The sequence below is a fragment of the Homo sapiens genome, chromosome 2, assembly GCF_000001405.40.
Source record: "Homo sapiens chromosome 2, GRCh38.p14 Primary Assembly".
Classification (NCBI taxonomy): domain Eukaryota; kingdom Metazoa; phylum Chordata; class Mammalia; order Primates; family Hominidae; genus Homo; species Homo sapiens.
The window spans coordinates 8995519-9009066 of NC_000002.12; the positions used below are offsets into that span (position 1 = coordinate 8995519).

The 13548-nt window shown below is 43.8% G+C and overlaps 1 protein-coding gene and 1 long non-coding RNA gene across 14 annotated transcripts in view, besides 4 other annotated features; one reads left to right on the plus strand and one right to left on the minus strand.

Annotated features, from left to right (window-relative positions):
* Positions 1-8166, minus strand: part of MBOAT2 (membrane bound glycerophospholipid O-acyltransferase 2) — a 150995-nt gene extending 142829 nt beyond the window's left edge. For all 13 annotated transcript variants that reach the window (NR_135601.2, NR_135605.2, NR_135600.2 and 10 more), the window contains exon 1: positions 8022-8166. Coding sequence is in view for 1 of the 13 variants with exons in the window: in NM_138799.4 (NP_620154.2) it covers positions 8022-8096 (75 nt within the window). In the remaining 12 variants the exon portion in view is untranslated. The remainder of the gene's footprint in view (positions 1-8021) is intronic.
* Positions 6823-7477: an enhancer, noted in NCBI's record as "OCT4-NANOG-H3K27ac-H3K4me1 hESC enhancer chr2:9142470-9143124 (GRCh37/hg19 assembly coordinates)". NCBI's record gives its function as "activates a minimal SCP1, AML or CMV promoter by ChIP-STARR-seq in primed H9 embryonic stem cells {active_cell/tissue: H9 hESC(primed)}" and the evidence as "EXISTENCE:reporter gene assay evidence [ECO:0000049][PMID:30033119]".
* Positions 6823-7536: a biological region, named in NCBI's record as "Sharpr-MPRA regulatory region 6065".
* Positions 7242-7536: a silencer, noted in NCBI's record as "tiled region #6065; HepG2 Repressive non-DNase unmatched - State 20:ReprD, and K562 Repressive non-DNase unmatched - State 1:Tss". NCBI's record gives its function as "represses a minimal TATA promoter and a strong SV40 promoter by Sharpr-MPRA in HepG2 and K562 cells {active_cell/tissue: HepG2 | K562}" and the evidence as "EXISTENCE:reporter gene assay evidence [ECO:0000049][PMID:27701403]".
* Positions 8080-8539: a silencer, noted in NCBI's record as "silent region_11131". NCBI's record gives its function as "represses an Ori minimal core promoter by ATAC-STARR-seq in GM12878 lymphoblastoid cells {active_cell/tissue: GM12878}" and the evidence as "EXISTENCE:reporter gene assay evidence [ECO:0000049][PMID:35858748]".
* On the plus strand, positions 8558-13345 carry LOC124907728 (uncharacterized). Its single transcript, XR_007086199.1, has 2 exons — positions 8558-8610; positions 9951-13345. It is a non-coding gene; the product is annotated as an uncharacterized LOC124907728 (long non-coding RNA).
* The last annotated feature ends 203 nt before the right edge of the window (positions 13346-13548 follow it).

A 13548-nucleotide genomic window follows, 5' to 3' on the forward strand; every position in this document is an offset into this window, starting at 1 on the left:
TTACACTGCCTTACGTTTTGGCGAGTACATGTTAATGTGTTAAATATAAACATTTTTTAAAAATACATTCCATTTTTTTTTTTTTTTTTTGAGACGGAGTCTCGCTCTGTCACCCAGGCTGGAGTGTAGTGGCACGATCTTGGCTCACTGCAAGCTCTGCCTCCCGGGTTCGCGCCATTCTCCTGCCTCAGCCTCCCAAGTAGCTGGGACCACGGGCACCCGCCACCATGCCCGGCCTAATTTTTTGTAGTTTTAGTAGAGACGGGGTTTCACCGTGTTAGCCAGAATGGTCTCGATCTCCTGACCTTGTGATCCGCCCGCCTCGGCCTCCCAAAGTGCTGGGATTACAGGCGTGAGCCATCGCGCCCGGCCTACATTCCATTTTAATAAACTTTTAATAATATGAACAGCCTAAAAACTTTGGCCCAAGTCTGTTATCTGTGATGGTGGTGGGAGGTGGGGGGAAGCAGGGGCCCTGTCGAAAATGCAGACTCCCTGGCCCTCATTGGGTATACCCTGAGTAGAGCCTGGGAATGTACACTTTTAATAACAATCCAAAGTGATCTTTGACACAGGTGGTCTCAGAGCCACACTTTAAAAATGCACCGCAATGGCTCGGCAGCTGGAAGCTGTTAAGAGTTTTAAGCAAGGAAGTAACTGATGAGTGCTGCATGTCTCAACATTTGCCACTGGATTTCATTCTGAGTATCAGAGACGGAAGCCTGATTATAGTGGTTTTAAAAGTGAACTGGAATTAGGAAATCAACTATTCTTTCAAAATGTATGACTGAGAAGAAAGAGACAAAATAACAATGTGCATAAAGGAGTCTGACAACAGGTTTTTTATTTGTATTCATCGGGTAGAGAAGTAAGTCATATTGAAGCAACCCTAACGTCCTGGATTGTATTTAAATGCCCCTCCAGATCCACTCTCCTCTCTATTCTGTGCCCCCAAAGCACCAACTTGTCCTCTGAAGTAGACCCCAGCAGGAGATGAGAGGATGGGAGAAGCGAGAGGCAGGGGCATGCTCTCCCGGCCGCAGCCCTCACTCAGGTTCGCTGTAGGCTGGCTGCGTCCTTCAACTGGAGGCCATAGCTCTTCCTCCCCTGCTGTGAAGCAGCCCCTGCTCCACAGCCACTATCTTGGGGTTCTGCTCCTTCCTTCCCTCTTGACCCTCCACATCTAGTGCAGCTGGCTCGGGAACTTCGCTATTCCTTGCTGATTTCCCAAGACCTGCCCACATCTTTGTAAATAGCTCTTTAAGTTACCTGGTTGCCTTAGTTACCTACTTCAATCTGTATCTCTTAGCAGAACCCTGAATGATACGTATAACATTAAGCAGAATGTAAATGCCAGAACAATGCCAAATCCAAAATACTCTCGTGGCTCAAATAAGGAAGCAGTCACATCAGATGGGATTCAGAAAAAGATTCGTGTGCAAGGTGCAGTGGATACAGGAAGGACGGTTAGGATTGGGAAGCCATGGTAGAAGAGGCACGTCACCAGTGCCTGTTCCGATCTCCTGAATCCTGAGCCTACCTTTCCACCCATCAGCTGCCCCAGTTGCCACACACTACATACTGAGAAAAGCCTGCTTCAATCACCCATAGCACGCATAAAAATCATTAAAAGACCACTCTGCTGAGGGTCGTATTTATGGCTGCTTTTATTTTAAAGGAATCTTACCAAGTGCTATCATTGTAGAGTCCCACCTGTTAAACCAACTGGAGCCAAAAGCTGAGTGTGAGTTGTTTTTATTTCCCTGGAAAGTTGGCCCTGATGGACCCAATAAACCGAGTTGAAGGAGATGAAGGCTGTTTGTACCTACAGAGGCAGTAACAACATAGGAAGCATTTTTAAAGCAGGGAGACAAAGAGCTCTTGAAGCAGTGAGGAAGCAGAAAAACCACTTTTGACTCCAAATTCAAAACTAGATTTTAATCCTAGTTTAATCACTGTGTGGGCATACGACCGAACCCAAGCCTTGTATTTCCCTTCCTAAAAAGCAAGTCCTAAAGATTAAAAATGAAATACATATGAACAGATGTTAACGTCTCAAAATAAAAACATAAATAAATTCCAGAAATTTGATAATTTGTAAAGAGGAAGGAACTGTGCATCAAACATCTACTAGAGGCCTGGCATTTTACAAAGATTATGGTTTCAATCTTCACAATAACCTACAAATAGGTACTACTACTTATTATTATCCTTATTTTACAGATAAGGAAACCACGGCTTAAAGAAAAATTTAGTGTTTTGCCAAAGAGCACAAGGCTGGCAGAGTCTGGCTGCCAACCTAATCATGCCATTTCCACTACACCACTGCCCTACTACTTCCTCTTAATGAAGGACATGGAATACAGGGAAACCTACATTAGCTGCAATTGTCAGGGCTCGTGGTATTTTGCTTAGCTGCTCTGAATTAAACAGAGAGGCAGTTTCAACTCTCTTTACTATTGAAAACATCTTCAAAATTTAGTAGTTCACTTTCCTCCTCTAAGTTTTTATTTATTTTCTCTCCAATTTGGTCCAAAAAGAATTTGGGCAGCTTTATCAGTTAATAAGACAAACAGAGAATCATGGAATTTTAAAACTAAGCCCAACACACATAGAGGAGGAAACTCATTCATGTATAGTAACATATCTAAAACCGTTAACTGACAGGAGCTAAAACACAGATTCAAGATTCTCAGTCCCATATGCCTTCCTGATGAAAAGGAATCGTTCACAGCAGACTCTCCGGGTTTTCAGTGTTCTCATGATGAAGACTAATGCTCATTATGAGTGTAAAAGTAGACAGGAGAGAGAAATGAGTTAAATATTTATGTTCTAAACCTAGAGCATTCAAATGGCAAGTTGAAAATAAATCTTTGATCTGCTTGTTTTGTTGCCATTCACCTTCTCTTCCTAAAAGTCATACTCTTAAGAAGGCTCAATACTGAGAACTTCACCTGTTTCTTCATCTATAAAATGGAATTCATCATAGTACAGACCTGCAGGAAGATTAAAGAAGTGAATGTTTTCAACTACCCTTTTCCATAACATCAACTTCACTTCACTGGTTATCTGCACGGTGCAGGGGAAGAGCGGGGGGCGGGGGTTGGGAATATATAGAAAAGATCAGTCAATGAACTGTCCAAAAAGGAAACAAGGATCTCGTAAGCCCACAATGCTTTCTCTCCCTTACACATCATCATTTTCTCTGTGTCAACCACAACCCCTAGTCCTTCAGTGTCGACTTCAGGGACCTTCAGTTGCTCTCCTCCTTTCCCTCCAAAAATATGATCTAAAACAATGATCTACCAAAAATATTTGCCACATATTATTAAGACCATAAACTAAACCTGACCTTTTTTATTCAAATGGTAAATACATACGTGCACGCACACACACACCCGTGAAGCTAAATACTTCAGGTCTTGAACTTTATCTGACTTCACCAGGTGTTGTGAGGATTTGATTAAATAATATAATCTGTGTGAAACAGCTTTGAAAACTGTATTAAGTGTTAGACATTATAATTATTATCTGACTTTGCAGGATTAGTAACATATAACCATTCCTCCTTCCCCTTCCCCGTCCAAACCTTTCAAAAGATCCTGAGTCTCCATCTTGCCCCTTTCCCTGCCCGGAATTCAGCATATTATCTGTAAAACAATGAATGACCCCTGTCCCTAAACATGGCTGTTCAATGACTTTATACAGGCCAGCTTCATCCCTAACTGGCCTTCTGCCAAGTATGCCATCCTGGATATCACATCACTAGGGAAATTTACTCTAGTTTCATAGCAGTAATTACAGCATCATGAGAAATAAGGACAGAAAATGGTTAAAAAGGCAAGAAAGAGATGGGAGGGAGGGAGGAAGAGGGAAAAGGCTGGATAGCAACCTCAGTTTGGTAACCGGGAGTTAGGCAAATCGAATGTAATAGCGTACAGGATATGTTAAGATTGAAAAATAAAAACACTCTAAAAAATAGGTTGATCTGGGACATTTAATTATTTTGTTTCATTTTGGTGCTCGCTTTCGAGTCTTAAAAATCCAGCACATCAGCAACTATTAATAATAAAGAACACAGATACCTTCAGTGATTCCTGATGTTGTCTAAACAGCACACTTGGGCCTTTTCTTGGCACAGCTCTTTCTCAGTCCATTTCCCTCCTCAAAACCCACTCTCCATACATTCCTTTAATCATAACCACCTACTAAACATTACCCTAGAAATAAAGTCATCTGGAAAACAAGGCCTAGAAAGGCAAACATCAGATGCCGATACTTCCTATCTTAAAGCATCATGTAACTTCACTTGATAATAGATTCTACATTTTTATTAAAATTTAAGGCCTATTGAACAAATACTATGGCTACCTAAATTCCAATACCTCTGGAATTCTCAGTAAAAATTAAGCAACCCAGGAGTCTAAGGCAAAGTATTTTGCTTCTTTTCCTTCCCTGGCCTCAGCCTAACCACAAAACACTTCCTCCTTTCTGCTACCTTGCCCTGCAAGGTGCATTCTTACATTCCATGCAGACCCATAATTTCTATCATCTCATAAATTCCACACTTACCTAGTAAAAAGTTAATTGTTTTTCTTACACTAAAGTCCTTTTCTTCCTCGGACATCAAACAACTGCTTTTATAATTTCCCAATTTTTCAAAACATTGTTAATTAGCACATACCAAATTAACATACTAACAAGTTATATTTTTACACTTTTCATTTCCTGATTTGTCTTTTTCCTGTTGAATCACACTATGTGATTATAACAAATTCATAAGATTTCTCTCAACTTGGAATAAATGATTTACATTATAAAAATTTTTATTTTGCTCAACTTTAAAATAATGGATAAATGACTTTAGTCATCCAATTTTACAAAATTGAGTTTTTAGTTATTCCAACAGCTTCATCAACAAGAAAGTCAACTCTAAGGTGCTTCAAAGAACAACTTATTATCACTATGAAAAGTTAAGGCTTGTGTGGTATTAATCCAATATTTTAAAGCCTTGCTCAAAGAGAAAACAACTCAAACTACAGTCATGTGTCACTTAATGATGAGGCTATGTTCTGAAAAATGCATCATTAGGCAATTTTGTTGCTGTGTGGACACCATAGTGTACTTACACAAACCTAGATGGCATAGTCTGCTACACACCTAGACCAGATGGTACAGCCTAGGAGGGTGAGTGACCAGCGTGTGAATGCAAAGGTCCAGGACTTTACCGTACACCACTGTAGACTTCATAAATACTCTACATTTACGCTACACTGAATTTATAAAATATATTTTCCTTTCTTCAATAATAAATTAACCTTGGCTTACTGTAACTTTTTTACTTTATTAAGTTTTTAATTCTTTTATAATAACAGCGTAAAACATACTGTACAGTTGTATAAAAATATTCTTCCTTTATATCCTTATTCTATCGGCTTTTTTCTATTAAAATTTTTTTAATTTAAAAAACGATTAAAAACTAAGACACAAACACACACACTAGCCTAGGCCCACACAGGGTCAGGATCATTAACATCACTGTCTTCCACCTCCACAGCCTGTCCCACTGAAAGGTCTTCAGGGGCAATAACATGCACGGAGCTGTCATGTCCTACAATAACAATGCCTTCTGGAATATTTCCTGAAGGCCCTGCCTCAGGCTGTTCCACAGTTAATTTTTTTTTTAAATAAATAGGAGTATACTCTAAAACAACAATAAAAAGTATAGTAAATACATAAACCAGTGATGCACTTAGGATTATCAAATATTACGTACTGTACCTAATTGTGTAGTATACACAATGTGCTAGACTTTTATAGGACTGGCAGCACAGTAGGTTTGGACTGGCAGCACATTAGGTTTGTTTACACTGGCATCACCACAAACACATGAGTAATGCGTGGTGCTACGACATGACAATGACTACAGCTTTACTAGGCAATAGGAATTGTTCAGCTCCATCATAATCTTACGAGACCACCAGCAGACATGTGGTCTGATGACCAAAATGTCACTATGCAGTGCACGACTGTGCTATACAAAGTCAGGGCTACACATGGCTGTACAAATTTAGAGTAGTCCCAAGGTACCAACTTAAGACCTTTAGCTAATAAAGAAGGATGTCAAAAATTTTAAGTCCTGTCACTTTCCCTTGATTCTCCTGCTTACTTCAGTACTGAAAAGAACTTTCTCTGGATGCTTAAATGCGTTCATTAATAGCAAATCACTTTAAAAAGTTATAAGCATTATATAAATGAATAGGTATTATTAGCATAGTCAAGAAAATATTTCAGCATAGCAGGGACGGGTAGGGCTATGGCAGACATGGAGCGGGAGGGAAAGAAAGATGGGGGAGAGAAAAAGGGAACGTGAACATGTGCCCATCTCTCTGAAAGAAATGTAAATATATAAACCTATCTCCCTTGCTCCTCATCAGCAAAGAACTTTTCAACAGACACCCACCCTGCATTTGCTGATATACTGGAAGTAGCCTATTTAAGGCAGGAGTGTGATATGCTAAAAGGTCATACACTGCACACCAGTGTGGAAATGTCAGCAAGAATCCTCCGCGGGGCCGGGAGGATGAAAAACCCTAAATTCTGGTCAATTTATTAATAAAGAGAGAAGAATATTTTCTTCGAATACACGATTAATTTCACTACCATACTTTATTAGCAAGACACCCATTAGAACTCTTGTTCAAGACAGGTGGGGGATAGGTACTTTACTATTAACCAGAAGTTATGACCGCGATGTGGAATTTCAACAGAAGCCACAATTGTTTAACACTCCTTCGACATACTTAAGGCGATTTTATTTAAAACAGTAAAGCACAAAGCAGCTAGTATCCTAATGTCAGGTTTCCAGCTTGCTGCTATGGAAAGCCGTCTGGACAAGAAGGAATCCCGTATTGAAGTGAAATCCCTGAAGACTAAATGACAGCAGCACCTTCAAGTTCAAGACAGTGAACCAGTATCCCGTGTGAAGTCCAAACACTTCCAGGTTAAGTACACTTGAAATAACTGTAAGCAAAATTTCCAAAGTTAACTACCTTTAGCCTGGGGCTAGAGCAATCACCTAACTATACACCCCCGCCCCCCAGCCCCCGCCTCATTAACAACTTCCCTAAATCTCACTGTCACAACAAAATACTTCCAAACTTTCTTTTCTCAGTAAAAATGGCGCTGCTTTTCCCATCACAATGCTGTTTATTTCTCAGTAATCGTTAGGCCCTTTAAACCATCAAACTCGATTGGCCTCATTTAAATACCACCCTTCCCTAGACACTGTCAAGAGCTTTTCTGAGGGCTGGGCAAGGAGGTAAAGTGGCTGCATCAATCTACAAGGTTGCCACTTTGTCAGCAAGAATCCTGGGATTAACTCCGACTTTTCTTCATAACCTGTCTGCCTTCCCACAAACTGTTGCCTCTGTCTCTCTTAAGCCACAATCCAACGCAAACTGTCCCCAAAGTGCAGTAGCGCTTAAGCCTCTCCGGGCCCCTAGCACCCATCGACGCCGTCTCTAAGGCACCCAGCACACCCAGACCCATGCATCAGCCTCTCCGGGGGTCGCTCAGAGGCGCGCGCGGGGCAGGCAGCACCACGCCAGGCTCCCCAAAGCGCAGCCTTCCGCACCCTTTCCACAACCCGGTCCATGCGCACCGGGGGCTGCTCCGGGACCCGACCACCGGATCCGAGCGCCGCTGCCGCGAAGGGCAGGGACCGCATGCACACCCGCACGCCCATACGACCACCCTCCCCGGGGGCTGTCGCCGGCAACAACGCCCGGCCCACCTCCCGCTCGGCCCGGGGATGGCGGGCTGGGGGCGCACCCAGGAGGGAGGGGGCTCTGGGACAATAACCGGCTTGTTGCCCCCTCCCTTCCAGGGAGCGGCGGGTAGGGGGGCACCGGGCGCCCGGCCCCAGCCCCCACCCTCCTCCCGGGCCCCCGGTCGGGTGGCACCGCGGCGGGGAGGGGCGGCGAGGGCGCGACGCCCGGCGCCAGGGCGCCTCGGGGTACCTGGTCGATGGGCAGCTGCACGGCGTTGCTGAGGGGCTGCAGCAGGGTGGAGCCCGTGGTGCTGGTGGTGGCCATGGCCGGGCCTCGGCGCTCCGGCCGCCCGCGCCGCTCGCCCGCTCGCGCTGTGCCGGGCGACGACGAGGATGGGGATGCAGCGGCGCGCCCGCCCCTGGGCCGCCCGCGGTCGGAGCTCTGCGCGGGGAAGGCCGGGGAGGGGCCGGGGGCGGTGCCCGGCTCGCACCTCCCCCTCCGCCGCCACCTCCTCCCGCGCCCGCCGCCCCCGACCGCCCTGCACAGGCGCGGCCCGTCCTGCCGTCGCCCCCGTCGTCCCCGCCCCGGCGCCCCAGCCGCATCCCCCGCCCCCGACTTCCAGCAGCTTCCAGCGGCCCCCTCCCCACCTCGCGCGCTCTCGCTCCAGACAGCTGCGCGACCCAATCGCGGCGCGACGCCCTGACGCCCGCAGCCAATCAGAGAGCGCCGGCCGCGCCACGCCCCTCCCCCGTGCCGAGGACCCGGGCGAGGGCGCCGAGGCGCGGCCCGGGCCGTCGCCGGAGAACGGCTGGCCAGCGTCGTGGGGCGCGCTCCTCGGGTGAGAGCATGGAAGAGCGTCTTTGCCCCTCACTCCTCGGTTTCTCCTCCCTGGAATGTCGCGGCCCCCCACCCCTCTCTGGGAGAGACGGCAGACAACAAAGGGGCCCGGGGTGGCGGCCGGAGGGACGATGTGAGGGACGCCGCCGAGCCAGCGCCAGGGGAAGTTGGGGACGAAGGTGGGGGCTGGGAGGACGACAAACCAAAACAGCGACCTGGCTGAGAAGCCCCTTTGTCTGGGAGAGTGCCGGGTGAAAGCCCAAAGCTGAGAGCAGCCCCGGGGTCTGACGCTTTCGTCACCCTGCAGCCGCACCCGGGCCTTTGGGTGGTGAGAGCTGGGCCTGGGTTCGACGCCCGCGGGCGCAGGGAGACCGGCTCCCCTTTGCTGTGTGAAAGTTTAGTTCTTTGTAGCCAGCCGCCCTCGTTGAAGGCCCCACCTTCTTCCTGAGAAAGTTTCTAAGCATCCCTTCACCCCTTGAGCGCAGGCACCCCCAGACTGTTGAAGTCCGCCAGGTTTACATACCCTGGCGGGTCACGTGTATATATAATCCCCCCAACTTCGTAAAAGTAAGCCATTTGAGTTCCTTTAAAATGCAAACGTCAACTTCTGTTCAGAAGACTTTAAAAGAGGAGAAATGCCACAGCAGTTATGAGGACAAATCAAGACTCAAGGATTTGGCAGTTTAACTTTGGTAGAAATAACTAATGTTTACTGAGAGTTTAACCACAGCTTTAATACTTTTGGTATTTAATCCTCACAATAACCGTGTGAAATAGACACTTTTACACACCCTCCTTCAAGGAAGTTGAGTCACAGAAGAGGTAACTTGCCCAGGGGCACACAGCTGGTAAGTAGATTGGAATCCAAGTAAATCTACATTTAGAGCCGACCTTATCACTAGGCCTTCATCTCTCTCACACTTAACACCCATTCCAGAAACTCCCGTCAGCTATCAGTTATACCATTGGGTTGATGACTAGCTTAGAGTCTTGAATAAGAAGGCAGCACAGATAAAAATACACCTGCCTTAGTAATCAGTCTGTGGGCTTACGTTTGTCTCTCTGAAAAGGAGGCAGTGGAACTCATCAGTGCAATCCCGTCTTGCCTAGAATCCTTTCACTGGTCGACTCAATCCTAGTTTGGTGGATTCTCAGCTGAAATGGAATAGAGGATAAAAGGAAGAGTAAAAAGAACAGGACCTTCATTCCCCCAGGGGAGTGTTCCAGTGGGATTTGTAATCAATTAGAGAGCTGCTTATTACAGTATATTAATCCAAAAACCCAGACCTATTAATATTATATTAGAAAGAAACCATTTTTTTTTCCTTTTCTTCACTTTAGAAAAGTAGAGGAAGCGCACAGGTGGCTGAGCATACAAACTGAAGAAAAAATTGAAATGCCATTTTAAAAACTTGAAAGGTGGGTGTTGGGAACATATTGCAACCTAAAGTAAGCAGCATGGAGATACAATCTCAGAGCTAGAACAAATAATGTCTGCAGAAAGGAGTTTCCTTAAGCTAAATTTTTATTTTAGTCAGACATGACAGAACATAATCTGTATTTGGGGTAACTACATGAAATTATTTAATATCTAGAATGGTTGAGCGCTGTGGCTCATGCCTGTAATCCCAGCAGTGAGCTGTGATCGCACCACTGCACCCCAGCCTGGATGACAGAGTGAGACCCTGTCTCAAAAAAATAAATAGGCCAGGCATGGTGGCTCACGCCTGTAATCCCAGCACTTCTGGGAGGCCAAGTTTGGTGGATCATTTGAGATCAGGAGTTCCAGACCAGCCAACATGGTGAAACCCCGTCTCTACTAAAAATACAAAAAAAATTAGCCGGGCATGGTGGCAGGCACCTGTAGTCCCAGCTACTCAGGAGGCTGAGGCTGGAGAATTGCTTGAACCCAGAAGGAGGAGGTTGCAGTGAGCCGTGATCACACCACTGCACTCCAGCCTGGGTGACAGAGTGAGACTTTGTCTCAAAAAATATAAAGAAATAAATTATATATATATATAGAGAGAGAGAGAGAGAGAGAGAGAATAGGGAAGATTTTAGCCATCTGGGAAAATTTTGCTGTGTCAGAGTTACAAAACTATAGGTAAAATATAGTATAGTAGTAATAATAGCTTAGATTTTGGAATCAAACACACCTAGTCTCTTCCATTTATTAGCAGCAAGATATTGGGCAAGTTATTTAACCTTTCTAAGTCTCCATTTCCTCATGTAAAAATGAGCGTAATAATGGCACCAACTCCATAGTTTATGAGGTTATAAAGGTGTACTTATATGAAGAGCTCAGAACAGTGCTTGGTGCATGATAAAACTTAAGAAAGATTATATTAGAGTTCTCCAGAGAAACACAACCAATAGGAGATAGATATGGTTTTGCTTCTCTGGAGAACTCTAGATAGAATAGATAGATAGATAGATAGATAGATAGATAGATAGATAGATAATAAATAGATATGGAAATAGATAGACAGAAGTTTATTATGAGAGATTGGGTTGAGATTATGAAGGCTGAGAAGTCCCACGATCATCTGCCATCTGTAAGCTAAAGGCCGAGGAAAGCCAGTAGTGTAGGTCCAGTCCAAGCCCAAAGGCCTGAGAAACACAGGAGCCAACAGTGTAGTTCAGTTTATGTCCAAAAGCCTGAGAACCAGGAGCAATGATATCCGAGGGCAGGAGATGATGGATGTCCCTGTTCAGAGTGAATTCACCCTTCCTCCACCTTTTTGTTCTATTTGGGCCCTCAGCAGATGTGATGACGCCGGGGTACGTGGGTGAGAAAATCTTTACTCAATGTACCAATTCGAATGCTGATCTCTGCAGGAAACATGCTCAAATACACATTGAGAAATAATGTTTCAATAGCTCTATCTGGGCACCTTTTAGCCCAGTCAAGCTGACACATAATATTAATCCAAGAAATTTAGTATAATTCTGAAAATGGAAACCATTTGTTTCGTATTAAATATACTACCTCTTCATGTTTTTAATGAAGAATTGAAGCTGGCATTTTAAGCTGATAACTCATTGATGGTAGCATAAACTGTGTGCAGGCCATACAATTAGCCTGACCAGTATCTGCTAATTATACCAGAAGCTCTTCAGTGGAGACAAAAGAGAAAAGAATTAAACTAATTGTATATAATGCCTCACTGCCCTACCTTGGGTAACATCCATCCTATAAAGAGCAATTCTTGTGTTAAAACATTTATTGACCACTTACTATGTTCAAGGAGCTATGTGGGGTGACGTAAAGGATAAATGATGCCTGTAATCAAAAGAAGAAAACAGTCGTATTCACAAATTCACATGTTACAAGAAAAGTATCAAGGAAGTTTCTTTTTTTAATGTTAAAATCAAAGGAATATGTCTGTAAGAAAGAAGCTTAGCTTGAAGTTAAAAGACCTGAATTTTAACCCTAACTTTTCCACCAGATAGCTATGAACTTTAGAAATTGGCTTAGCTTCTCTGTGCCTTAAGTTTCCCATTGTTAAATATGAATAATGGTAACTGTTCATCCTACCTCATAGGAGTGTTGTGACTATGAGCATGAACTTAATCATAGACTCAATTATTTTTAAAGTTACTAGTACTGTTAGTCTGAGAAATAATAACTAGTAGTAAAGGGATTTCAATATAGCAGCCACATTGTTAACAAGAGTTACTTAGACAAAGGCACAGGAGCACCAGGCAGCATCCACGTGTGGTAAGATGGCAGTGCGGCAGTGCTCTTGTCCTGGGTTCATTGCCCTCGCCTCCTAAAATCGCTGTGATCATTAAAGATTGCTAAAATGAGATGTTTCCTTCCCAACTTATTTTTAACATTGAAGAAACCACTGGGAAGAAATGAATAATCTGCCAAGCTGCTTTTGTTTTGTAAAAATAGTATGTGCCATGAAATTCCATCTCTCAGGCAATTATTTTGCCTATTCTATGTTCCTATACCCTGGAATAATTTTGATGGATGAAGAACATTGAACCATACACATAATAACAACCCAAGTTAACTAGAGGGGCATCTTTAAGCACTTGCAAGCTAACCTTAGCCTGAGACTAGAAAATGGAACGAGAATGTCACCCTTTAAGACCTAACATAGTTCAATTAGGAAATCACAAAGTAGGCTGAACAAGAGGTAGCAAACACAGTAGGAGAAGTCCTGGCTCCACTGTATTCTGGCTCCACCACGGACGTGGACTGTACCAGCAAACAAATCACTCATCTTCAATTTCATTGGGAACATGTTAAGAGATTTGTTAAATAAATGATTTCAATTGTCACCTCTTCCTCTAAAATTAAATGATTCCCAAGAATTTTTGGGACTTTCTCTGTCTCTGTGAGACCACAGTCTAGGTTTAAATTAGGCTAAAAGATGCAAATGAAACTATTACTCATCAGTTTGGGAATAGCACTGCTTTCTAATTATTCCACAGGTTCCAGGACTACCTCAAATGTATTACGTCTCTAATCAGTCTTTCTCCTTAAAAATGCCTATTATTTCTTGGTGGACTGCAAAGATTTCTGTTTTATATCTGCGCATCTTGGGAAACATTTTATTTTCCTCATAGATTTATTTGGCATTTTTATCTTTATATGATTGAGTCAAATCTCAATACAAAGAACACCCCTTTCATGCTTATTTATTACAACATGAGCATGCAGCCTCCAACCCCTGATTCCTAGGTACAGAAAAATAAAGTTCAAGCTTTTTCATGCTTTTGCATATCTGCATAATAGTTTTTGTGTCCAAATTATGAAACACCTTAAATATAAATTGCTGTAGCCTCCCCAGGGTTCATCATAATCACCGTCACCACTAGCAGCATTTATTGCATCTGCTGGGGTCACTGCACTGGGGAAGAAGGCCTCATTTTCTCAGTTCGCCTAATATTCCAGGTTCTTTCTGTTTATCTATAATTGTAAGAA